This window comes from Homo sapiens, chromosome 11 (genome assembly GCF_000001405.40).
Source record: "Homo sapiens chromosome 11, GRCh38.p14 Primary Assembly".
In the NCBI taxonomy this organism is placed as follows: Eukaryota; Metazoa; Chordata; class Mammalia; order Primates; family Hominidae; genus Homo; species Homo sapiens.
The window spans coordinates 114,565,270-114,591,755 of NC_000011.10; the positions used below are offsets into that span (position 1 = coordinate 114,565,270).

Consider the following 26,486-nt stretch of genomic DNA (forward strand, 5'->3'; position numbering starts at 1 on the left):
AATAGAGAACGTGTCTTTATTGTAGGCCATGCCCTTTTTACACAAAACCATCTGTTTAAAATAGGTGGCTGTTACATTCCACTTACTCCCTGGCAAATGTAAAATGAATCATTGTATTTTATTTAACAGGTATAGACTGAATCTTTAACATATGCTAGACGTAGTTCCTGATGCTGCGAACAAGGCACCTAGTGAACAAATACGTGGTCCTTACTGTTAGAGAACCTAGAGTTTACTGTGAGTAGAACAGGTAAAAATAATATATACAACTAAATTAATGAGATTATTTTGGATAGTGATACATACACTCATGAAAAGGAAACAGTGAAGTAATTAAGAGTAATAGGGAGTTGGAGTGATCTAGTTTTACATTGTGTGGTCAGGAAAACTTATCTGAGATTGGAATGACAGGAAAGACTCATCATTATGGATCATGGAAAGGAGTTTGGAAGCCATTACAGGGTTTTATCCAGGGATGTAAAATGATCTCATTTACAGTTTAAAAAGCTCAGTCTGGCTACTAGGCAAAGAATGGGTTGTAGAAGTTTCAAGATTATGAGCAAAAGATCAGTTATTGCCTGAGTCCAGGAAAGAGGTGATACTGTTTAAACTAAGATGGTAGCAATGGAGATAGAGAAGAGGAGAAAGATTCTCCACATATATTGTAAAAAAAAATATGGCAGAACTTTGAGAGGAATGAGAGAAGTAAATGAATCAAGGACAATTTATGACTACCTGTATGAATCTTGGAAACATTTCTGAGCTGGAGAAAACTAGGGACAAATGCATTTTGGAATATAAATCAAGAATTCTACTTTGATCATACTGAGTTTGAGATGTCTCCTAGACAGGTAAATGGGATATTAAGTAGGCAATTAGATATGCAAGTCCTAAGTGCAGTGGAGAAATCAGAGCTGGAGACAAATACTTACAAGTTATGGAAATCATCGATAGTATTTAAGCCAGGGAGTGGGTATCACCCCAAATTAGCATATAGATAGAGCAAAGTGGATGCATAGGAATGAACCCCAGGGCACTCCAACTTTAGAGGCCAAGCAGCTGAGTGGGGATTGGCAAAGGAAAATGGGAAGGAGTGACCAAGGAAGCAGGAGGAAAACACAGAGAAATCTGTGGCACAGAAACAAAGGAAAGTGAGTGAGTGAATAAAGAAGGCACAGTCAATTGGGTCAAACACTACTGAGAGGCTGAGTTGGATGAAGACAAAGAAGTAGCCATTGGATTTAGCAACACAAAGGCCATTAGTACCGCTGGCAGGAGCGATTTAGAACATAAACCCAACTGGAATGTGTTGTAACAGAGAATAGGAGGTAGCAAGGACAAAAAACTATATGTTTTCAAGAAGGTTTTATAAAAAGGGGAGAAGATATGTAGCCATACCTCAAGAGACACATGTAATATCAAGGGATTTCTCTCTCTCTCTCTCTCTATCTCTGTATATATAGAATATTTGCACACATATGGAGAATATTTACATTCTATATACCCACATATATGTATTTAAATTTATGTTTTCTTTTTTAAGATGCAAACTATTAGAGAGTAGTCTATTTGTTTCCTAAACAAATGACCCAGTTGAAAGGATTGGGTTGATGACCGTGTCAGTTATTGATTTATTACCTCTTGACTCCAAATTTGCCTTTGTATACATTCTCTGCAATCATGGACAGAAGTGCCTTAAGCACCATCCTGTATAGTGAGCACTTTGCTAAGCTTTCTCAGCAGAGGGCTTGGGAGGGGCATTGCAGAAAGAAGGAACTCTCCTGCTGTTTCTGGTGGCCGTGCAGTAGGCTAGTGTTTTTGGTATGGGGACATCCAGTAGGGCTCTTCCCCAGCCATGTTCCCAGAATAAGCAATCTTTTGGCAACCTTGCAGCCTCATCCTGGCCTGGCAATAACCTTTCCTAGCCTTCCACATTGGCTACAGCACCCCAGCACTCCCTGTATGTGAAGGCCTACTGCTTGCATGGGCACTCGATTCCCCATGCAGGCCCCCTGCACAGCTCATCTTTGTCCTAGGCCCTCACCTACTTGTTCACACCCCTGGTTCATGATTGCCTGAACCCTGCCTGGACTATGGAGGATTCCCTTCTGCTTGTCCAGCAACTGCAGACCCGCTCTAGCCTGGGAAAACCAACGATCTCTGCTTTCCAGTGAAATGAACTATACATTTCCCAATAAGGCTGAACGGCAGCCTTGGGGAGGGACCTTCTTTCAAGTTTTTTTTGGACACCGTCCCTCAGCCTTAGGCATACCACATAGAGATTCCTTTTATCTTATAGTCACTCATTTATCAGAGTTTAGTAATTCTTTATATCAAACTTTCCCCGTTTGGCCCACTGGGTGGTTTCTACCTCCTCATTGGACCCAGACTGTTAGTTACAAGGATGAGAAAGATTATAACTGTAAGGATTCAGCACAAACTGGTACTTAGAATATACTTTTTATTTTTTTTAAATACCCTCTCTTGAAAAAAATACCTCACCTTGTCAGTTTCTTTTCAGTATATTCTTTAATATGCTTGCCTCTTGTTAATAATTTCCCTTGGACATTTTTACAATGTTTTTTCTTTGTGGAGTATTTTTCCAAAATATTTAAGAATCCATTCAGCTCCAAGGGCTATATGTCAGTCATTTTTACTTTTTCCCTCTGTTGGAAGAACAACTTGTACTTTCGATATATATATATACTGGCCAATCATCTCAGACAAGAAATAAACATATGAAACATCACACAGACATTGCCACAGTGTGTATATTGATTTGGTTTTCAGAAGAACCATTAAGCCTTCATGGATTGCCCCTAGAAAGTGCTAACTTCTGAGAATTATCATTCTGAATGTATCTTTCTATCTGAGCTCACGTTCCCTTTTAGAGTTCACATATTACAAACATATATCTTCTTTTTCTTTTCTTAAAAAAAATCTCTGGGTCACATTCAAATTTTAGTTTCTGTGCTAAAATTATAGTGCTCTGTGTTCCTTTTAAATATTCTGCCCCTTTTGCAAGATCTTCAATACCTTTTATCCTTCCTTACCTCAAGTAGAAAGGGGTAGTGGAAAGTCACTCTATTAATAGAAGAAAGCAGGTGCTGTTCTACCATTCCTGGAGCTTCACAACCCTTGTTCATTCTTACCTTAGCAGCTATAGTAGTCCATGGTGATGCTTGAGTTAAGGTACTGCTCCCCCCTCCCTTTATTTCCCCCTCTCTTCTTCACTCTCTTCCTCTCTTTCATTCCCTCTTTCTTATTTTCCCTCTCCCTTCCTTCCTCCCTCAACTACCCACCCATTATAATTAGGATAAAATTTAAACTCCTTGCCATAGGTAATAAGGCCACATAAGATCTAGCTCCTGCTTGTTTCTCTAACTTCTCAAGCCTCTGTCTTCCTCCATTTTGTCTCACGGCTGCCTCCTTTTTATCTTTTCTATCCCACTTTCAATGCTTCTCTTCTGAGATGCTTTTCTAAATACCTAGTCACCTCCATCACCACCATGCCGTTACCCTATCACTGATGTGATATGCTTTGTTCATATGACTTTATCATGAACTGTGGAATAATTTTATGTCTTTTTTGTTTATTATCTTTTTCCTTTATTAGAATATAAAATCTTTGATGGCAGAGATATCATTTGTCTTTTTGATGACTATATACCTAAAGACTAGAACAGTTCCTGGCACATGGTAGGGATTTAAAAAAAAATGTTGACCATCTGAGTGTATGTGGGGCATTGGACTATGAACTGTGATTATTGGCAAATAAATAGAAAATGTATTATCTCCTGCTGCCCCCAAAAAACTGGATAAACATATTTAAGTTGCCCTATTGTAATTGTTTTTTTCCAGATGCAAGTACTATTGCCATTCTTACTATTGGGTCAGGGGCCTGGTGGTATCTGGGGCATGATGAAGGGTACAAAATTAAGGAAGAATATGGTACCAAACTGCTTGACAATAATCACATTGCTCTATTCAACTGAAATTCTCATATCCAACACTCTTTTTTGATCAAGTCTTGGGAAGGCCTATTAAAATGCAAATGAAAGTGATTAAAATGTTAACCTACATGTGTAGATTATAGGGACCATTGTTATTGATTATCTACTTAATAGCTTTCAGACAATAGTGGCTCGCAAAGATGTTTTAAGCCGTGGAATTTTTTCAAACAAAAAGCTCACCCAGGATTCCATATACATATAGGTAAGAATGACTGATATTCTGGCTGAAGCAGTGGTATTGGAACTGGTACTCTGCCCCATGGGGCACCTCTCCTGACTCCTGCCCCTCAAGGTAGTGCCCAAAGTACCACATGAGACCCAGAGAGCTGAAGATACTTATCCAGTCTTTTGTTGTTGTTTTTTGAGGCTGGGTCTTGCGCTGTCACTCTGGCCGTAGTGTAGTGGTGTGCCACTGCAGCGTCAAACCCCTGGACTCAAGTGACCCTTCCACCTCAGCCTCCAAATGAAGAAGGAATTAGTGAAATCAACTATAAGCTAATAGTAGTAGTAATAGATATTTTAAAATCCTCTTAAAGCTGCTGCAAAGTGTGACCCCTCACCCCCACACTCAAGTTAAAAGGGAGTATTAACAGCCTGTCTTCTTTCTGTGGACAGTGGACCTTATCTATACTCCCCAACTCTACATTCCTCAAAGTTTATTATAGGCCCAGAGAGTGCCTGCTTACCTTCCTACATGGCTGCAGGGTCACAAGACTGATAAGTTTAGGTTGCAAGACCTGTTTCTCTCAAGATGTAAGAAATGTTGTAATGCTGCATTTGTTTCTTGCTTCTGTAACTCGCTTCCTGCCTCACATGGTTCCCGCCTTAAGATGTTTAAAAGTAGGAAAAGCCCTTTGTTTGGGGCTCAGACTATCTGGACCTATGTACGGCTGAGCCAGTGATCACCTTAATTTAATAAACTCTCCTGGACTTTTTTGGTCTCTCCAGTCTTTGACTGTCTTGCAACCCAAAGTGCTAGGATTACAGGTGTGAGCCACTGCACCCAACCCTCCAAAGTCTTAAAATGATCAACAGCAACAAGACTAAAGACAAACTTCCTGAATTCTAGTGGCCCGTGCTTTTACCTGTGTTATCCTATAAACCTGGATGAAAAATACTATAGAATCAGATTAGAGCCTAGTATCAGGAGTTCCTACAGAGAGAGAAAATTTAGAGGTTTTCAGGACCCACATGTCCTTGCTTAGAATTCTCTCTATGACTATGGGAGAATTGCCTCACAAGACTTCTCTTCTGACTTGGAAATTCATCTAGAGCTTGTCTTTAGTGATAGAAATAAACAAACAGGACTGCTTTCTCCAAATTTTTATTTTAAAATTACTTTATCACTCTGAGTTTTCATGCATCAGAGAGAACTTTTACCCATAGGTGTCTTGACTTCCCATTGGTGAAGAGGGGTATGGCTCTGATCAAGAAGGGTAGGCTCTTTTCATGAGTATTTTTAGTTTTATTTTTAAGTGGAAGCCCAGATTAGAAACATCTCATTTAGCTGAATTGGTGGCTTATGGATCAGCCATAATGTAGATTCTCTGCTCTTGCTAGTTGGGAATTCAGAGCCAAACACAGCATCTGGCCTGCTAGTAGACAGTCAATAAATTTTTTTACTTAAGTGAATGAATTTCAGACTTTTGTGTTATTTAACAAATATAGTTTAATAATATATTAATCTGATTTCCGACTACATGTTGAGGTGGGTGTACATTATTTGTGCCATATGCAATTGTTATATCCCAGGCATCAATGATACTCACACTGAGATCCTGGAAAATGTCCTTTATGATGAGATATTGAATGTAACCATGAAAGTCACTAAATCTTTCTGCATCATTGTACATCTCCCTGATGTTTTCTGTTTTGATGATAACCATAGTGTCTGGGCTTCTCAGAAGAAGATGCTGAATGGCTTTGTGGACATTGAGGGCCCTTCGGATAAAAACATCAATGGGAAAGGGTCTGAAATGCTGGCCCAGGGAAATAACAATGACAGTATTTTTTTCTCCTCCAGTTCTGTCAATGGCCCGGGTGAGGTACTCCATCTCTTTGACTGAATAGGTCATTGATCCTATCAAGGGATAACAATATTTTTGCCACTGGATGTTGATGTTCCTATCCAAATCCACAGCAAGCTGGTGTTGCAATTTTCCAGATTCATGCAGATCCACTGACTTCAGTGCTGATAACAAATAGGCAATCCCAAAATAAAAGGAGGATATAGTTACCAAGATTGAGTAGATATAAAGATGGAAGAGATTTGATTGGTATAATTAAATAAGCTAATCATGTCTAATTTATTATAGGTTTAGATGAGGGGATGTTTTTGAAAATTATTTGAACAGTCAAAAGTGTTACGTAGCATCTTGGATTAAGATGGTGGATAGGAGGCAGGACTAGCTTGCAGCTCTCACTCAGACAAACAGAGCAGCCTGTGGAGACTCACATCATGAACTTCTGCTCCAAGAACTGCCACAGGAACATACCAGGAAAGTCAGAAGAATCCATAGACCCTTTGAAGGAACAGGATCACCACTGCAGGCTCTCTGAGATGCTGAAAAACTGTGTCCCTAGGGCAAGTTTCCATCCTGCCTGTAGGACAGCAGCTGATGTGCTCTTGAAAGTGCCACCTGCTGGCTGGAGGCCAACGAACACAAAACCAGCACACTAAACAAAAACACAACCAAAGACCCTCACAGAGTCCACTTCACTCCCCTGCTAACTCCACTGGAGCAGGTGCTGGTATTCAAGGCTGCAAGACCTGAAGATGGGTCACATCCTATGGGATTCTTTGCAGACACTCTCCAGTACCAGCCCAGAGCCCAGTAGCTCCACTGGGTTGCGAGACTCAGGAAGCCCCATTCCTAGGGGAAGGGGGATTAAACCACATCAAGGGAGCACCCTGTGGGACAAAAGAATCTGAATAGCAGCCCTTGAATCCCAGATCTTCCCTCTGACATGTCTACCAAAATGAGAAGAAACCCCAAAACCAATTCTGGTAATATGACAAAACAAGATTCTTTAACTCCTGCAAAAGACCATACCAGTTCACCACCAATGGATCTAAACCAAGAAGAAATCTCTGAATTGCAGGAAAAATAATTTAGAAGGTTGATTATTAAGCTAATCAAGGAGGCACCAGAGAAAGGTGAAGTCCAACTTAAATTAAAAACATGATACAGAATATGAAAGGAAAATTCTTCAGTGAAATAGATAGTATAAATAAAAAACAATCACAATTTCTGGAAATCAAGGATACACTTAGAGAAATGCAAAATGCACTGGAAATTCTCAGCAATAGAATTGAACAAGCAGAAAAAAGAACCTCAGAGCTAGAAGACAAGGCTTTAGAATTAACTCAATCCATCAAAGACAAAAAGGATTTTAAAAAATGAACAAAGCCACCAAGAAGTTTGGGAGTATGCTAAATGCCCCAACCTAAGAATAATTGGTATTCCCAAGGAAGAAGAGAAATTTAAAAGTCTGGAAAACATATTTGAGGGACTAATCGAAGAAAATTTCCCTGGCCTTGCTAGAGATCTAGACATCCAAATACAAGCAGCTCAAAGAACACCTGGGAAATTCATCACAGAAAGATCATTGCCTAGGCACATAGTAATCAGATTATCTAAAGTCAAGATGAAGGAAAAAATCTTAAGAGCTGTGAGGCAAAGGTATCAGGTAACCTATAAAAGAAAACTTATCAGATTAACAGCTGATTTCTCAGCAGAAACCCTACAAGCTAGAAGGGATTGGGGTTCTATTTTAGCCTCCTTAAACAAAAAAATTATCAGTCAAGAATTTTGTATCCAGCAAAACTAAGCTTCGTAAATGAAGAAAAGATAGTCTTTTCGAGACAAATGCTGACAGAATTTGCCAGTACCAGCAAGCACTACAATAACTACTAAAAGGAGCTCTAAATCTTGAAGCAAGTTATCAAAGCACACCAAAATAGAACCTCCTTAAAGCATAATTCTCAAAGGACCTACATGAAATAATGCAATGAAAAGAAAAACAAGGTATTTAGGCAACAAGTAGCACAATGAATAGAATAGTATCTTATATCTCAATGCTAATATTGAATGTAAATGACCTGAATGCTCTACTTAAAACGTACAGAATGGAAGAATGGGTAAGAATTCACCAGCCAAGTTTCTGCTGTCTTCAGGAAAGTCACCTATTTAATAACACATAAGAACTCACATAAACTTAAGGTAAAGGGGTGGAAAAAGATATTCCATGCAAATGGGCACCAAAAGCAAGCAGGAGTAGCAATTCTTATATCAGACAAAACAAACTTTAAAGCAACAGCAGTTTAAAAAGACAAAGAGGGACATTATATAATGATAAAATAACATTCAACAGGAAAATACCACAATTCTAAATATATATGCATCTAACACTGGAGCTCCCAAATTTACAAAACATTACTAATAGACCAAAAAAAATGAGAGATGGCAATACAATAGTGGGGAACTTTAACACTCCACTGACAGCGCTAGACTGGTCATCAAGACAGAAAGTCAACAAAGAAATAATGGACTTAAACTATACCCTAAAACAAATGAACTTAACAGATATTTACAGAACATTCTACCCAAAAAGTGAAGAATATACATTCTATTTATCAGCACATGGAACATTCTCCAAGATAGAGCATATGATAGGCCACAAAACAAGTCTCAGTAAATTTAAGAAAATCAAAATTATATCAAGTACTCTCTCAGACCACAGTGGAATAAAATTGGAAATCAGCTCCAAAAGGAACCCTCAAAACCATGCAAATACATGGAAATTAAATAACCTGCTCTTGAATGATCATTGAGTCAACAATAAAATCAAGATGGAAATTAAAAAATTCTTTGAACTGAACCATAATAGTGATACAAGCTATCAAAACCTCTGGGATACAGCAAAAGTGATGTTAAGAGGAAAGTTCATAGACTTAAATGCCTACATAAAAGTCTGAGAGGGCACAAATAGATAAACTAATGTCATAGCTCATGGAACTGGAGAAACAAGAATAATCCAAACCCAAACCTGGCAGAAAAAAAAATAATGAAGATCAGAGCAGAAGTAAATGAAACTGAAACAAAAGTAATACAAAAATAAATGAAACAAAAAGCTGGTTCTTTGAAAAGATAAATAAAATTGATAAACCATTAGCAAGATTAACTAAGAAGAGAGAAGATCCAAATAAGCTCAATTAGAAATAAAACAGGAGATATTACAACTGATACCACAGAAATATGAAAGATTATTCAAGGCTACTGTGAACACCTTTAAGCACATAAACTAGAAAACCTAGAGGGGATAAATTCCTGGAAATATACAACCCTCCTAGATTAAACCAGGAAGATATAGAATCTCTGAACAGACCAGTAACAAACAGTGAGATTGAAATGATAGTTAAAAAATTGCCAACACAAAAAGTTCAGGATAGATTCACAGCTGATTTCTGTCAGACATTCAAAGAAAAATTCAAACAAATCCTATTCACACTATTCCAAAAGACAGAGAAAGAGGGAATCCTCCCTAAATAATTCTATAAAGCCAGTATCATCCTAATACCTCAACCAGGGAAGGACACAACAAAAAAGAAAACTACAGACCAGTAACATCCCTTATGAACATAGATGCTAAAATCCTCACCAAAATACTAGCTAACCAAATCCAATGGCATATCAAAAAGATAATCCACCATGATCAAGTGGGTTTCATACCAGGGACGCAGGGATGGCTTAACATACGTAAGTCAATAAATGTGATACACCATATAAATAGAATTAAAAACAAAAATCACATCATCGTCTCAGCAGACACAGAAAAAGCATTTGAGAAAATCCAGCATCCATTAGGATTAAAACCCTCAGCAAAATCAACATAGAAGGGACATACCTTAAGGTAATAGAAGCCATCTACAACAAACCCCTAGCCAACATAATACTGAATGGGGAAAAGTTGAAAGCATTCCCTCTGAGAACTGGAACAAGACAAGAATGCCCATTCTCACCACCTATCTTCAACATAGTACTGGAAGTCCTAGCTAAAGCAATCAGACAAAAGGAAGAAATAAAGGACATCCGAATTGGTAAAGAGGAAGTCAAACTGTTGCTGTGGCTCATGATATGATAGTATACCTAGAAAACCCTAAAGACTTATCCAAAAAGCTCCCAGAACTGGTAAATGAATTCAGCAAAGTTTTAGGATACAAAATTAATATACACAAATCAGTAGCTCTGCTATACACCAACAGCAACCAAGCCGAGAATCAAATCAAGAGCTCAACTCCTTTCACAATAGCTGTAAAATAAAATAAAATAAAATAAAAACCTTAAGAATACCTAGCCAAGGATGTCAAAGACCTCTACAAGGAAAACTACAAAACACCGCCCAAAGAAATTATAGATGACATGAATAAATGGAAACACATCACATGCTCATGGATGGGTAGAATAAATATTGTGAAAATGACAGTACTGTCAAAAGCAATCTACAAATTCAATGCAATTTTCTTCAAAATACCACCATCATTCTTCACAGAACTAGAAAAAACAATTCTAAAATTCATATGGAACCAAAAAAGAGCCCACATAGACAAAGTAAGACTAAGCAAAAAGAACAAATCTGGAGGCATAACATTACTGGACTTCAAACTATACTATAAGGCCATAGTCACTGAAACAGCATGGTACTGGCATAAAAATAGGCACATAGACCAATGGAACAGAATACAGAACCCAGAAATAAAGCCCAATACTTACAGCCAACTGATCTTTGACAAAGCAAACAAAAACATAAAGTAGGGGAAGAACACCCTGTTCAACAAATGGTGCTGGGATAATTGGCAAGCCACATATAAAAGAATGAAAGTGGATCCTCATCTCTTACCTTATACAAAAATCAACTCCAGATGGATCAAAGACTTAAATTTAAGACCTGAAGCCATGAAGATTCTAGAAGATAACATTAGAAAAACCCTTCTAGACACTGGCTTAGGCAAAAACTTTATGACCAAGGACCCAAAAGCAAATGCAACAAAAACAAACATAAATGGATGGGACTTAATTAAACTAAAAACTTCTGCATAGCTAAAGATATAATCAGCAGAGTTAACAGACAACTCACAGAGTGGGAGAAAACCTTCACAATTTATACAGTCAACAAAGGGCTCATATCCAGAATCTACAAAGAACTCAAAGAAATCAGCAAGAAAAAAAAAGTCCCATCAAAAAGTGGGCTATAGACATGAATAGACAATTCTCCAAAGAAGATATACAGATGGTGAACAAACATATGGAAAAATGCTCAATATCACTATCAGGGAAATGCAAATCAAAACCACAATGTGATACCACCTCAGTCCTGTAAGAAAGGCCATATTCAAAAAAAATCAATAATGTTGGTGTGGATGCAGTAAAAAGGGAACACTTTTACACTGTTGGTGGGAATGTAAACTAGTGTAACCACTAAGAAAAACAATGTGGAGATTCCTTAAAGAACTAAAAACAGATCTACCATTTGATCCAGCAATCCTGCTTCTTGGTATCTACCCAGAGGAAGAAAAGTCATTATACGAAAAAAATACTTGTACACACATGTTTCTAGCAGCACAATTTGCAATTGCAAAAATAAGGAACCAGCCCAAATGCCCATTAATCAATGAGTGGATAAAGAAGATGTTTATATATATATATATACATATATATATATAAAGTTATATATATATATATATACATATATATATATAAAGTTATATATATATACATATATATATATAAAGTTATATATATACATATATATATAAAGTTATATATATACACATATATATAAAGTTATATATATATAATGTCATAAATATATATGTGTCATATATATATATATATATAAAATGTTATACACACACACTGTGGAATACTACTCAGCCATGAAAAGGAATGAAAGAATGGCATGTGCAGCAACCTGGATGGAATGGGAGGCTATTATTCTAAGTGAAGTAACTCAGGAATGGAAAACCAAGCATCGTATGTTCTCACTCATATGTGGGAACTAAGCTATGAGGACGCAAAGGCTTAAGAATGATACAGTGGACTTTGAGGACTCGGAGGAAAGGGTCAGCGTTGGCGAGGGATAAAAGACTATACATTGGGCACAGTGTACACTGCTCGGGCGATGGGTGCATCAAAATCTCAGAAATCACCACTAAAGAACTTATCCATGTAACCAAACACCACCGGTTCCCCAAAAACCTATTGAAATAAAAAACTTAAAAATTAAAAAAGTGTTATGTAAATGTGAAAGATTACGTGCACGCCACCTTATAGAATCATGTGGAATCTAATGGAGTGGGGATGGAAAGGTAGTGAGGTAACTTCCTTGGAGGATTATGTGGTCAGTTTTGTAGATATTATTTTTGTACATTTTGTTGATTGTAGACTAAGCTCATTTGAGGCTAGAGGAAGGTACTAATTGGTCTTTACATAAAAAACAAGTAAACCCTATTTCCCCAGCCACTCTTTAAATTCCCTCAAGACTGAAATTATATTCTGTACTTCTGTGTTTCCTTCACATATGCTTGGGATAATATTAAGTGCCATATCTATAATAATAAGTATTACTAGTCATTTGTGGAACCCTTTACGATATACAAAGCATTTATTTGGACTGATCTATCCATTCACCTCAAGGATCCTCTCATGTATATTTAATTGACACATGAATAGAATAAAATGAAGTTCTTCCATTTTCATCACATTAATTAGACTTTTATCAGAACATCAGGGCTAACTGCTTTGTAGTTAGAACTTTTGAGGAAAATGTTCAGAGGAGGATTATTGATGCTTTGTAACATGGGATTGTCTTAGAAGCAAAGGGCTACATTTGAAGACTTAACCCAGTGAGGCTGGAAAACAGAGATGCTGTAGGGTGAGTTGGAAGAAAATGGCAGAGTTATTTTCTTCACTCTGCTTCCAACTTACTTCAGTTTTCTTTTCCAAATCACACTCTGGCCATAGAATTTAACTTTTAACACAATGTACAACAGTTGTTTTTCTATGACAAATTAAAAGATGAGTCGAAGAGGGTAGGTAACTCCATAACTCAGTCCTTTATATGACCCAAGAGAATCACTGTTACAGAATGTGATGCTAAAGGCTGTTACTAGACCCTGAATTTTGTAGATGAGGTAATTGAGGTTTCCCTAGGAGTTTAGTCATTTACCAGAGATCACAATTTAAAGCTCTTCCTTCCATTGAGAATTTTTCTTATAACTTAGAACTAAGGCCCTACCAATTTTCCCACTTTCATTGGATCAACTTTCCTTCTAAGTTTGAGATCATGAGTGGCCTCATTTTAGGAAGGCCAGGATGGAGCCACAGCTACTGCAATTCTCTCAGTGATGAGAGCCAGGATCCGGGGTCATAGAGGGGTAGACAATAATGGTTTTGTAGGTGAGATGGCTAAGGTCTACTAGCAAATTCTGAGCTATTACTGGTGCGCTCTTGGTTTAGTAAATAGAGCAACTGAACTAGGATTTTAGCAACTGGGTTTTATCCCTGACCCTTAAATTAAGTAATGATAACAATTGCAATGGCTGTTGTTTTTTTGGGCACTTTCTGTGTGCCACTATGCCTTGCAATGTGTTAAACACTTTATATCCATTACTTCATTTAATCTTCTATACAGACTTGTACTTGTATTAGTCTGTTTGCATTGCTATAAAGGAATACCTGAGGCTGGGTAATTTATAAGGAAAGGAGGCTTATTTGGCTGATGGTTCTTGCAGGCTGTACAAGCATGGCATCGGCATCTGTTCAGCATCTGGTGAGGCCGGGAAGCTTTTAGTCATGGCGGAAGGGAAGGGGAGCCAGTGTGTCACATGGTGAGAGAGGGAGCAAGAGAGATGCCAGGCTCTTTTAAACAACCAGTTCTCACATGAACTGACAGAGCGAGAACTCACTCATTACCATGGGGAGGGCACCAAGCCAGTCATGAGAGATCCACCTCCGTGACCCAAACACTTCCCACTAGGTCCCACCTCCAGTGTTGGAGATCATGTTTCAACATGAGATTTGGAGGGGACAATCAGTCAAACTATATCACTATTATTATTCCTGGTTGATTGGTGAGAAACACCAGGCAGGGAAAATAAATAACATGCCCAAAGTCATTGTTTCTAAGTAGCATAGCCTAGATCTGTTAGACCCCAAGCCCATGCTTTACTTGTGTCTACCTGATGCAAAGTCTACCTCACTTCTGACATCTGTTCTCTTAGGTAATGATGACAGTAATGATACCTTACACCAAAGAGAAGTTATGTAAGAAACAATATTCTAAATGCACTGTATGCATTACCTCATTTTACTAGGTAGAAACTCTTTTCATCTTCAGTTGACAGATGAGAAAACTGAGGGATGGAATGGTTATGTAACTTGTTCAAAGTCACCCAGATAGGAGGTAGAGAAGTCAGGTTTTGAACCCAGGTTGTCTGGTTCTAGAATCATACCCTTAATCATTTTGCTGGTTCTAGAAGCTGGACAATTTAATATCTTACATTATCTTTGGTTCCATCAATAGTTTTTGGAGCCTACTGGGTACATACTGAAGTGTGAATTCTGCAGAGATAGGGATGTAATAAACCTTTTTCTACACTGCTTTCCTTCCAGTTAGATAGCTGTATTGTTTTTTTAAAGGAAGGATAACAATGCCTTGTGAAAAATTTTGGTGTGTTGTGATTGAAGAATATGAAAAAAAGAGGAATTTCCCATATTCCCTTCTCCCCTTTGAAATGGAAAAGAAGTTTCTGAAAGGGGTAAGAATTATAGCTTAGACTGAGGCATACTGTTGATACTGGCTTTGAAGTATTCCATCCACTGGCGGATCGTGGAATCTCCCATTAGGTATATGAGTTTTCCTCTCAGGCATTCCTTCATTTTGACTGTAGCCAAACTACAGGAGACAGGATTCCATGTGTTTCTCCAGACATGCCCACTGGGGATTGTGGATGTCATTCCAAACTTGCATTTCTCTTTCATTGCAACTGTTTCTTCTGCCAAAGAATCAATGAGATAGGATCTTCCAAAACATCAAATTACCCGTCAGTATGTATTAAGAGCCTTCTATCCTCTAAGTATCCTAAGAGGGGGTAAGGTGGTGGTAATGGTGGAAAAAGTATTACTGAAGTATTCTCTTAATGGAACAGCTGTTTTTTTAATAAAAATTTTTCTCTGATGTGAATTTCCTAAATAATGTTCATTAATGTTCGTTATAAGAGTATATGTTTCTTCCCAGAAAAAAAATGGCTTTCTGGAGGAAAATTTAAGTATTTTCCAGCTTTTCTATGAAACTAAAGTCATCAATTCTTGCATAGGAATGGAAGCTCAATTATCCTATCATTTTAGCTCACTTTACCCCTAAGTTTGTCACACTGTGTCTTAAATGACACCATCAAAATATAAATCCTTTGAGTTAAATAAAGGTGATATAAAAAATATTAACAACTAGTTTGGCTTGGGAACTGACCAATCCAAATGAATATAGCTATAGGCTGGAGAGTGTCTTAGAGGTCCAAGATGGGCCAAAGATGAACCCCTCAGTCACTGGTTTAGAAGAGTCTGGGAATCCACAGGTTGAGGTAGCCACAATGGTGAGGAGCCCGTGGCAGGTTTGATTATTAATCAACTGAGAGAAGTAGTTTAATATTTTAATAAGTGGGATGAGTGTACTCATGTATGTGTGGTAAAAATAACATTTCTACATCTAGGTACATATTTACACTTCAGTGTAAATAGGTTTATTAGTGATTAGCAAGGCTTTCTTTCTTTTTTTATGATTAGCAAGGTTTTAATGCTGAACTTGCAGAGACATAAAAGCTCTTGCCTTGAGTCGTTTTAGATAAGAATTTCCTAGGCTATTTGGATTCAAAGAAATTGGAGAGAAATTAGTAAATATAAGTGTGCAAGTTCTATTTTTTATGCTAACAATTGTTTGAAAGGTGGCAAAGATCAAGAGGGAGGGGTTATAATAAACTGACACTCAGATGGCAGGTTGGAAACCTCTAGATGGTGATGGGCTAGTGGTGATATGGGAAGAGGTGATGGGAGTGGTATGAAGAGAGGTGTTGTGGTGAGGTAAAGAAGTGGGTATAGAATTGGGAAAGAGTTAACGTTTAAAGGTTGTTGTATAAAATGGGCAGGGAATTCACTGACTGACAAATAGACTGATGATGAGAGTTACAGTTACTAAAATAGGCTTATGATATTCCAGTGATTGAATTATTCACTCACCTAGGTAACTGGTGTCTTGGCCAACCTTAGATAAGCCAGATGAACAGAGTGCTGATAGGACTGAAACAGTGAACAAATCCAGTAGAAAGAAGAAACCCTTTAAATGGGTCTAGAACTAGGCACCACCCACCAAACACAGGAGTACTTACTGTTGCATTTGGAGACACTAATTGTATTGAATTTTTCCATAATCTCTACACCCACATTTGACCTTAAAGACACAAATACAGAAATTAATCTGTAGGTGGCCTCAAATCAGGAAACATACAGAAACTAGATTATCCAGTGCCTCAGTTATTTCTTAGAGATAAGTCAATTATTATGCCTACAGTTTCAGGCCATTTAGTAAATTTCCATTTCTTTGCCTATTAGGCTATGGGATACAGTTACCCAGAAGGTATGCAAGAGAATTTGTTGAGTTGCAGAAATAATGTATTAGAGCACACACACATACACACATGTGCATTTCTCATTTTCTTCTAGTTTTTATTCTGTATATATTTTTTTCCCATTGATAAGAATTAAATGTTCAAAAAGTTTGTGGATTACTAGAGAATGGGCACTGTCTCTAAATGAATTCACAGATCCTTTCCCCAAAGGCTCTTACTAAAGACACCCAAAATTAATACACTCACAAGACTTTTCTTTGGATCAGTATATAGGCCAAATCACAATATTTGCACAGGTAGTCTCAAGAAGTAATTATTTTTACCTTTCAAAGAGGCTCTTTTCTTGTTTGCTAAGATAAGAAACTTTCTTGTTCTTAGAATACATGTGAGTGAGTGCAGCACAGGGCATGTGTTGAGGCCTCACACAGTAGAAGCCTTCTTGGTCTCTGTTGTCCAGGTACTGGCACAATTCAGCATTTGTGTTTAGGATCAGGCCACATTCAGAGTGGACTTGGGAAGTGCCATTGACAAACTGGCCAGTGAAGATCACCCTGTCATAGCCTTGGTTCCTTGCACTCCAGAGAGCTGACACCCCTTCACTGGGGTGGATGAGCAGCAGAGACAGAGAGACCTGGCCCTCCCAGAACAGAGTGAAGCTGACCAGGTAGGTGCCGTTGTTGAAGTCAGTCACCTTTCCTGAAGCACCTGCCATCAGCGCTGGGGAAGACATCCTGGCCCTCAGGAAATCCCCGCCATATTGCTTCCTGCGTCCCAAGTGGTCCCTCACCTCCAGCAGGATGTGCAGCTGGTCTCCCCTGCAGTACGTATCTCGAGGGTTGAGGATGGTGGCTGTGCTATGTGTGGCGCTGGTGGTGGTGTTCACGTGGGTGAAAGGTCTGGGTGGGATCTGCTGATCTAGTTTCTCTATGATTTCCTTTATTCTGAGTTCAGTCTCTGTTAGTGGCTTTAATGATATCAGTGGTGTTTTAGGGAATAAGGACTTTGTGGAGTTGTTCCAGTAATGGAGGGAGATGGATAAGTTTAGAGCAGACCAAACCTGAAATGACAGCAAATGTGACATGAGATGGATAAATTTAGAGCATATCTGAACTGAAATGACAGGAAGTGTAACATGCTATGAAATTAACATGTTCCTAGTCATTTTTACTTATTGTGATTTTGAATATTGATTTACATACTATTATCAATATTATTTAAATTCTCCAATAAAAAGGCATAGAATGGAGATTGACTGACAGGAGAGACAGAGGGACAGGAAGTGAGCAAGATGGCGCAAAGGCAGGGCACCAGGAGGAAAGTCTGTTACTACTACGATAGGGGTGTTGGAAATTACTATTATGGACAAGCCCACCCAAGGAATCCTCACTGAATCTGCGTGACTCATAATTTGCTGCTCAACTATGGTTTCTACTGAAAAATGGAAACCCATCACCCTCACAAAGCCAATGCTGAGGAGATGACCAAGTACCACAGTGATGACTACATTAAATTCTTGTGCTCCATCTATCCAGATTACGTGTCTGAGCACAGCAAGCGGATGCAGAGATTCAACGTTAGTGAGGACTGTCCAGCATTTGATGGCCTGTTTGACTTCTGTCAGTTGTCTACTGGTGGCTCTGTGGCAAGTGCTGTGAAACTTAATGAGCAGCAGATGGACACTGCTGTGAATTGGGCTGGAGGCCTGCACCATGCAAAGAAGTTCAAGGCATCTGGCTTCTGTTATGTTAATGATACAATCTGGGCCACCTTGGAACTGCTAAAGTATCACCAGAGGGTGTTGTATGTTGACGTTGATATTCACCATGATGATGGCATGGAAGAGGCCTTCTATATTACAGGCTAGGCCAGGACTGTGTCCTTTCATAAATATGGAGAGTACTTCCCAGGAGATGGGGACTTATGGGTTATTGGGGCTGGCAAAGGCAGATATTATGCTATTAACTATCTGCTCCTAGATGGGATTGATGATGAGTCCTATGAGGCCATTTTCAAACTGGTCATGTCCAAAGTAATAGAGATGTTCCTGTCTAGTGTGGTGATCTTACAGCATGGCTCAGATGCCTTGTCTAGGGGTCACTTAGATTGCTTTAATCTGATCATCAAAGGGCATGCCAAGTGTGTGGAATCTGTCAAGAGTGTCAACCTGCCTATGTTATTGATGGCAGAAGGTGGTTACACCATTTATAATGTTGCTCAGTGCCCTGGAAATAAGAAAGAGCTGTGGCTCTGGATATGGAGATCCCTAATGAGCCTTCATACAATGATTACTTTGAATACTTTGGACCATATTTCAAGCCCTACATCAGTCCTTCCAATATGACTAACCAGAACACTAATGAGTACCTGGAGAAGATTAAACAGTGGCTGTTTGAGAACCTAGTAATGCAGGCCCATCCACCTGCAGTCCAAATGCAGGTGATTCTGAGGATGCTGTCCCTCAAGAGGGTGGCGATGAGAATGAAGAAGACCCTGACAAGCTCATCTCCATCCGTTTCTCTGACAGATGAATTACCTGTGAGGAAGAGTTCTTCGACTCTGATGAGGAGGGAGAGCGTGGCTGCAAGATCTCTCCCATCTTCAAAAAAGCCAAGAGGATTAAAACAGGATGAAAAAGAGAGACTCAGAGATGAAGAAATGTCACAGAAGAGGAGAAAAATGAAGGAGGAGAAGCCAGGAGCCAAAGAGGTCAAGGAGCAGGTCAAGCTGGCCTGAGGGAACCTCCCCTGCTCTGGCTTCCTGCCTAGTCCCCAATCTTTCTCTCCCAAACCCTCAGATTTTATGTCTTCTATTTCTCCAGGTATTCATATAAAATTTATTAAATATAAATAGTTCCAGGGACTAGACAGAAATTAAGACCCTGAGCCCAGGGCAGCTGTGCTGGGTGATCTCTTCTAGGAAATGCCTTGCCACCTATCCCTCTGCAGGTCTTAACTCTGAAGCATAAAAGGCGCCAGGTCTGGGTGAAGGGAATACTTTTGTGCAAACAGAAGACAAAATCCTGAAATGCCAAGTGCCTGCTTAGTAGCTTTGGAAAGGTGCCTTTATTGCACCTTCTAAAAGGGGTGTCTGGGTCTTCAAGGTTGCCCTGTTCTTTTCAGCTCCTAAGTAACATCAGCCATTTTTAGATTGGTTCCATTCTCATACCTTCTCACTGGCCTCAAGTGAGCCAAAAAACTCACACTGCCTGCCATCTGTCTTCCCCCAGTTCTGCAGGTGGAGGATGGTAGTCTAGTCTCCTGCCATCCTCCACCTGCAGAATTGGGGGAGTTTTGAGATACTATTTTTATTTTTGTGAGACTCTGTAATAAAATGGTATATTTCATTACTCCCTACCCCAAAGACAGAATGGTTGAGTAGATTTTAAAAAAACAAGACCTAACTCTATCCTTCTGCAAGAGATTCACTTCAGCTTTAAGGACACACATAGACTGAAAGTGAAGTAATGGAAAAAGATATTCCATGCAAATGGAAACCAAAAGAGAGCAGGAGTCACTATGCTTATATCAGATAAATTGGATTTAAGTCAAAAACTGTAAAAAGAGAAAAAGAAGGTCATTATGTAATAATAAAGAGATCAATTCATCAAGAGAAAATGACAAATATATGTACGTGTGTGTGTGTGTGTATATATATGTATATACATTCAACATTTAGAACACCTAAATATATAAAGGAAATGAAACAGGAACTAGAAAGAAATTATTTAGGTAGACAGTGAGGGTAAAGGAGTCCTTGGCAAGGCTTCCCTTTTTAACAAAAAGGAGCCCCCAAATCATTTCTTTTCTAACAAAGAGCAGCCTGAAAAATCAAGCTGCAAACATAGATAAGCCAGCTGAAAACTTGCATGGGTGAATGCTGGCGGCTGTGTCAATAGAAAAGGGCTACCTGAGGGCCAGGCATGTTCAACATGGAGGCTCCATCTTCCCTTTTCTTTGTCACCATGTGTACAGTAAAAAAGCAGGCAACATGGAGCTGGCCAGGTAGAGAACCCATCTGCATAATGAAAGATTAGAGTGGGACAGCCAGCTTCTTCATATGCTATGCAAATGGCACACCGAGTCCTAACCAGTTCTTTGTGTGCTATGCAAATGTTACACCTGGGGTGACCAATCTTTTTTGCCCTGTGTAAATCAGACACTACCTCCTCAAGCTCATCTATAAAATCTCCTGCACTTCACTGTGGACCAAAAGACCCACTTAAATCCCCTGTCTCTACAGAAGAGAGCTTTTCTCTTTCTTTTGCCTGTTAAACCTCTGCTCTTAAACTCACTCCTTGTATGTCCATGTCCTTGATTTCCTTGGAGAGAGACAATGAACCTCGGGTATTATCCCAGATGAAAAATGCCATTTCATTATGGGAGCCCACCTGGGATCCGAGGAAGATTCATAGAAGGGGGAGTATAGAAGTGGACCCCAACTCCTTCTTTTTATTTCAAGGCCTTCTGCTCTCCATTTAAAAATCAAACCAAATACTGGGCCCCCAATCAGCCATTTAAAAAGTTAGCGTGGCTACCAGCCTTACAAGACTCAGGGGACAGGCTTGCCAGGGAGAACTTAGCTAATCCCCCCATGTCCTCAGGGTGCTGGGAATGTTGGCTTTGTTTCTAATTGGTTTCCTTTTACAGAGAGCCTTGCTGTCATGTGGGGCTGGAAGAGGTTGAGAGGCACTGAAGGTTCCTTGCCAGGGAGACACCCTGGTGTTACCTGAAGGTTTCTGGACTAATTCCAGCCTCCAACAGCCTGATGGGTGATGGCAACAGGATCTGCAAGCTTTTTCTATTGCAAATTTTCTCCTTTCCTATCCGCAACTTCCATGTCTCCTATCCACTCTCTGTATGCAATGCTTTAAAAATTTTTACAGTTCGGTGAAGTAATCCTCTTAGGCAAGATAAGGAAATGCCATAATGCCTGGGAATATAGCTCATGGGATTGCCGTTTTTGTGATTTTCTAGGCACAGAGGTCCTCCTTCCCTCCCCACACCCCCTGTGAACATCTCTCTCTTTACCCTTGGTCTGGAGAGCACATGGTATTTCAAGGTCAACAGCATCACCTAGTGGAACGGGAACCCTATTCCATGAGGCATATTGTTGGCCCTTTGCGGAAACACTCTTAACTTCCTAATTCTCGCTTTTTTTGCCCCTCTACAAGAGACCAGGCTTTATGCTCCTTCTTTGAACAAGAAAACTCTGTCTTCAACAATGAGGGGAAAAAGGTCCTCCAAAACCAAATTTTAGTCTGAACATGGTCCCATCAGCAGGAAAACAACCATTTGGTTCCTACGTTCTTTTAAGGCACCTATTCTGCCTCCAATTAAAATGGTACTTAAATAGTAAGAGGAATTTAATTCCGGAAGTTAACCAGAGCCACTGCCTAAGAATAAATACTTTAGTACAGGACATAATAGCAAATTGTACAGCTCAAACCTGCATTCTCTATTAAAGGGCATTACCCAAATGTAACTGTAACGAAGTCTCTCTCAAGATCCATCTATTGGAGAGTCATGCAGATCACACAAGTCTAGAAAGTCAAAGGGAAATCACCAGCAAAGGACTAGAGTCACATGGGTGAGCATGACTAATCCCAATCCATTGGTTCCTCTGGTTTCATTGCTATGGGTTATGCTTGCATCAATGGATGGCACCTTAAAAGATGCCAGGGCTCAGGGCGCCAAGGAGGGAAAACAGTTGGGGGGATGCCCCCACTGTCTTCCCCTCCACCCTAGGCCTTTCCAAAGGAAACGAAGGTGACTAAAGGGACACCTTTTTTCTTGCTTCTCTTTCTAGATGAATAACAGACCATCTTTGGTCTGCACTCCTCTGGAGTGCTTTCTGAAGCACTGGGATTCCTTTGACCCTGAGACTGAAGAAAAAGTGGCTCATTTTCTTTTGCATAAGGGTGTGGCCTTCTTACCATCTTGAACCATCCTGGCCTGCAGAGGGGAGCCTTAATTTTAATACTATCCAACAATTAGATATTTTCTGTAGATGGGACAGCAAATGGTCAGAGGTCTCTTAGGTACAGGCTTTCTTTGCCCTGTGAGACAACCCAGAACTTTGCAAGCATTGCACAATCAGCTCAGCTCTTTCAGCAGTCATATCAGGAGGGCCCAAAGGGAATGATTCCCCAAAACTAGAGAAGCAACCTCCAGGGAACTATCTGAGGCAGCTATTGAGTGTCCAGGCCCTTCTTGTCCTCCCTCTCTGGGGCCCCCTCCAGCTGTGCCATCAGGTCCTTTAGCTCCACCATCTCCAAAACTCCCCACTCCCCTAGCTTCACTCTTATCCTTACAGGAAATGCTCAATGGAGGTGATGTCACTAGGGTTCCCTTCTTATTGCAGGATCTTAGACAAATAAAGGGAGACTTAGGCCAATTTTCTGATGACCCTGATAAGTATATAAAAGCTTTCCAAAATTTAACTCAGGTGTCTAACCTCTCATGGAGGGATGTTATGCTGCTCCTAAGCCAAACCCTAACTGCAGCTGAAAAACAGGCAGCTCTGCAGGCAGGGGAGAAATTCAAAGATGAGCAATATGTCTCCTATAGTAGGCCAAAAGGGAAAAAAGAATATAGAGAAAATGAAGAAATAGGGGAGCCATCATTCCCAATACGAAGAGAGGCACTACCTCTTGACAACCTTGTTTGGAACCCCAGTGACATCACAGATGAATAGAAAAGGAAACACTTTTTAATGTGCATATTGGGGGGCCTATGAAGAACTAAGGCCAAACCTCTTAACTACTCTAAACTGTCCATGGTAGACCAAAATCCAGGTAAGAATCCCACAGCCTTTATGGAAAGGCTGAAAGAAGCACTAATAAAACACACCTTCTTGTCCCCTGATTCAGTAGAGGGACAGCTCATCCTAAATGACAAGTTTATTACACAGGCAGCTCCCAATATTAGAAGGAAACTACAGAAGTAGGCTATAGGGCCAGATAGCATTTTGGAGAACCTCCTGAGGGTGGCCACCTTAGTCTTTTATAGTAGGGACCAGGAGGAGACCCAGGAAAAAGAGAGGAAACACAAGAGAAGGACTGAGGCTCTGGTAGCTGCTTTGCAGGCTTGCAAAGTCTGGGATCCCTGAGGTGCATCTGCGAGTTGCTATTGATGTGGGAAGTCAGAGGACTTTAAAAAGGATATCCAGGAAGCAAGAAGAAGCCACCTCGACCCTCTCTAGCCTGTGGTGGGGACCACTGGTGATCAGACTGCCCCCAGAGATGAAGGTCAACAGGTTCAGAACCAGTCTCAAAGATGGTCCAGCAGGACTGATGGGTCCTGGTGCTCAAGCCCTGGCTCCAGTGGCTCAAATTCCCATTACAGCACAGGAGGCCCAGGTAATTCTGGAAACTGAAGGAAGGAAGGTGGACCTCCTTCTGGACACCAGAGCCAGCCTCTTTTCTCCTCTATAATCGAGGCCTCCCCTTTTCCCATAGCATGAGGGGTGTGGGGTGTCTCATAAACACTCTGATATGTTTTTCTCAACCCCTTAGGTGCAGTTGGGGGGACATATTATTTACATGTGCCTTTTAAATCATGCCTGAAAGTCCCACTTCTTTATTAGGTAGAGACGTTCTAGCTTGCATGTGGGCCAGCATACTTATAGCCCCAGGAAAAACTCTTTTTCTCCTCTAGTGGAAGCTAATATCAATCCAGAAGTCTGGGCAACTCAAGGAAGAATAGGTTGAGTTGTAACCACTATGCCAGTCTGGATCTATCCTAATGATCCCACTTTTTTCCTAATCGGAGACAATATCCCCTAAAGCCAGAGGGTAAGAAAGGGCTAGAAGCCATTATTAATAACCTGAAGATGCAGGGCCTCCTTAAACCCTGTAACAGTCCCTACAACACCCCAATATTAGGAGCACAAAAACCCAATGCAGAATGGAGATTCATTAATGAGGCCATAGTCTCAATCCATCTGGTAGTACCTAATCCCTATACCTTGCTAATCCAAATGCCTGAGGGAACTAAATGGTTTACAGTCTTAGATTTAAAGGATGCCTTTTTCTGCATACTGTTACATCCTGACTCTCAATACCTGTTTGCCTTTGAAGAATGCTTCTGGCCAAACTGCCCAGTTAAAATGGATGGTGCTGCCTCAGGGATTTTGAGATAATCCCTCATTTGTTTGGACAGGCATTGTCAAAGGACCTCTCTGAGTTTTCCCATCCTCAGGTCAGGGTCTTGCAATATGTGGATGATATACTGCTCTGTGCCCCAACTGAGGAAACCTCTTGGGAAGGCACTGAAACTCTTTTTAATTTCTTAGCTGACAGAGCATATAAGATTTCAAAATCTAAGGCCCAGCTTTGCAAAACCTTGGTAAAGTACCTTGGTTTAGTGCTTCTGAAAGGACCAGAGCATTAGGGGAAGAAAGAATTAAGCCCATTTCCTCCTTCCCCCTCCCTAAAATCCTCAAGCAACTGACAAGATTTTGGGGCATTACAGGATTTTGCAGGCTATGGATACCTGGGTATGGTGAGATAGATCATCCTCTATATCACTTCATAAAAGAAACTCAAGTGGATAAAATTCATCTCCTAACCTGGAAACCTAAAGCTCAAAAGGCCTTTAGCCAGTGAAAGCAAGCCTTACTTAAGGTACCAGCCCTCAGCCCCTCTGTAGGGAGGGCCTTCAATCTTTATGTATCAGAAAGGAAAGGAATGGGCATGGGAATTTTAATTCAGGCCTGAGGACCAGCTCAACAACTAGTGGGCTACCTGAGTAAGAAACTTGATTTGCAGGTAAAGGATGGCCAGCATGCCTCTGAGCAATTGCCATATTGGCCCTACTGGTACTGGAGGTCATCAAATTAACCCTGGGAAATGGTTTAACTGTTTATGCCCCACACAATGTAGCAGGATTGCTGTCTTTTATGGGGAACCTTTGGCTAACAGTCCGTTGGCTCCTTAAATATCAGGCTCTGCTGTTAGAAGGGTCAGCAGTTCTGTTAAAAACTTGTTCTTGCCTAAACCCAGCCACTTTCCTCCCCAAGAAAACTGGGGAACCTGAACATGACTGTGAGCAAGTTGTGGTACAGATCTATGAAGCCAGGGAGGATCTCAGGGAAACTCCCCTGGAAAATCCAGACTGGACCATCTTCACAGATGGCAGTTCTTTTGTAGAGCAAGAAGTCCATAAGGCAGAATATCCAGTAGTCACTCTGAATGATGTTATTGAAAGTGCACCTCTCTATCCAGGCACAAGTGCTCAACTAGCTGAACTGACAGCTCTTACAAGAGCACTTGAATTAAGCAAGGGAAAGGTAGCTAACATTTACATTGACTCCAAGTATGCTTTCTTAATTCTCCATGCTCATGCTACCATTTGGAAGGAAAGACACTTTCTTACTACTAATGAATCTACTATAAATTACCACCAGGAAATTAACAGGTTATTATCCTCAGTTTTCCTTCCATGAGAGGTAGCAGTAATGCATTGTAAGGGACATCAGAAGGGAACAAATGAAATAGCTGAAGGAAACAAGTTAGCAGATCAGGCAGCCAAGTCAGCAGCAAGAAAGCCTCATGACATCAACTTGAAGCCCCTCTAACCTGGGAAGGCTTCATAAAAGAAATTAAGCCTCAGTACTCCCCTGCAAAAATAGAATGGGCCATTTCTCGAGGGTATACTTTCCAGCCCTCAGGATGACTACAGTCAGAATATGGCAAGCTGTACTTTCCAGCCTCCAGCCAATGGAAAGTCCTTAAAATCCTTCACCAAATATACCTCAAAACAATAAATTCCATGCCCCCTCATGGAATTCCA

The 26,486-nt window shown here is 40.1% G+C and overlaps 2 protein-coding genes and 1 pseudogene across 14 annotated transcripts in view; 2 read left to right on the forward strand and 1 right to left on the reverse strand.

Annotated features, from left to right (window-relative positions):
• The window catches only part of NXPE2 (neurexophilin and PC-esterase domain family member 2), a 349,427-nt gene that overhangs the window by 100,994 nt on the left and 221,947 nt on the right, over positions 1-26,486 (forward strand). The gene's annotated exons all lie outside the window — the stretch shown is intronic.
• NXPE4 (neurexophilin and PC-esterase domain family member 4) overlaps positions 5,322-26,486 on the reverse strand; it is a 107,660-nt gene continuing 86,495 nt past the window's right edge. For 8 of the 12 annotated variants that reach the window (XM_047427150.1, XM_047427148.1, XM_047427151.1 and 5 more), the window contains 4 exons: positions 17,019-17,752; positions 16,456-16,517; positions 14,863-15,069; positions 5,322-6,204 (listed from right to left, as the gene is read on the reverse strand). In XM_047427150.1, the coding sequence (XP_047283106.1) occupies positions 5,669-6,204; positions 14,863-15,069; positions 16,456-16,517; positions 17,019-17,752 (1,539 nt within the window). In that variant the 3' untranslated portion in view covers positions 5,322-5,668. The other 4 variants (NM_017678.3, XM_011542882.3, XM_006718865.4 and 1 more) reach the window with 4 other exon arrangements.
• On the forward strand, positions 17,993-19,280 carry LOC100132172 (histone deacetylase 2 pseudogene; annotated as a pseudogene).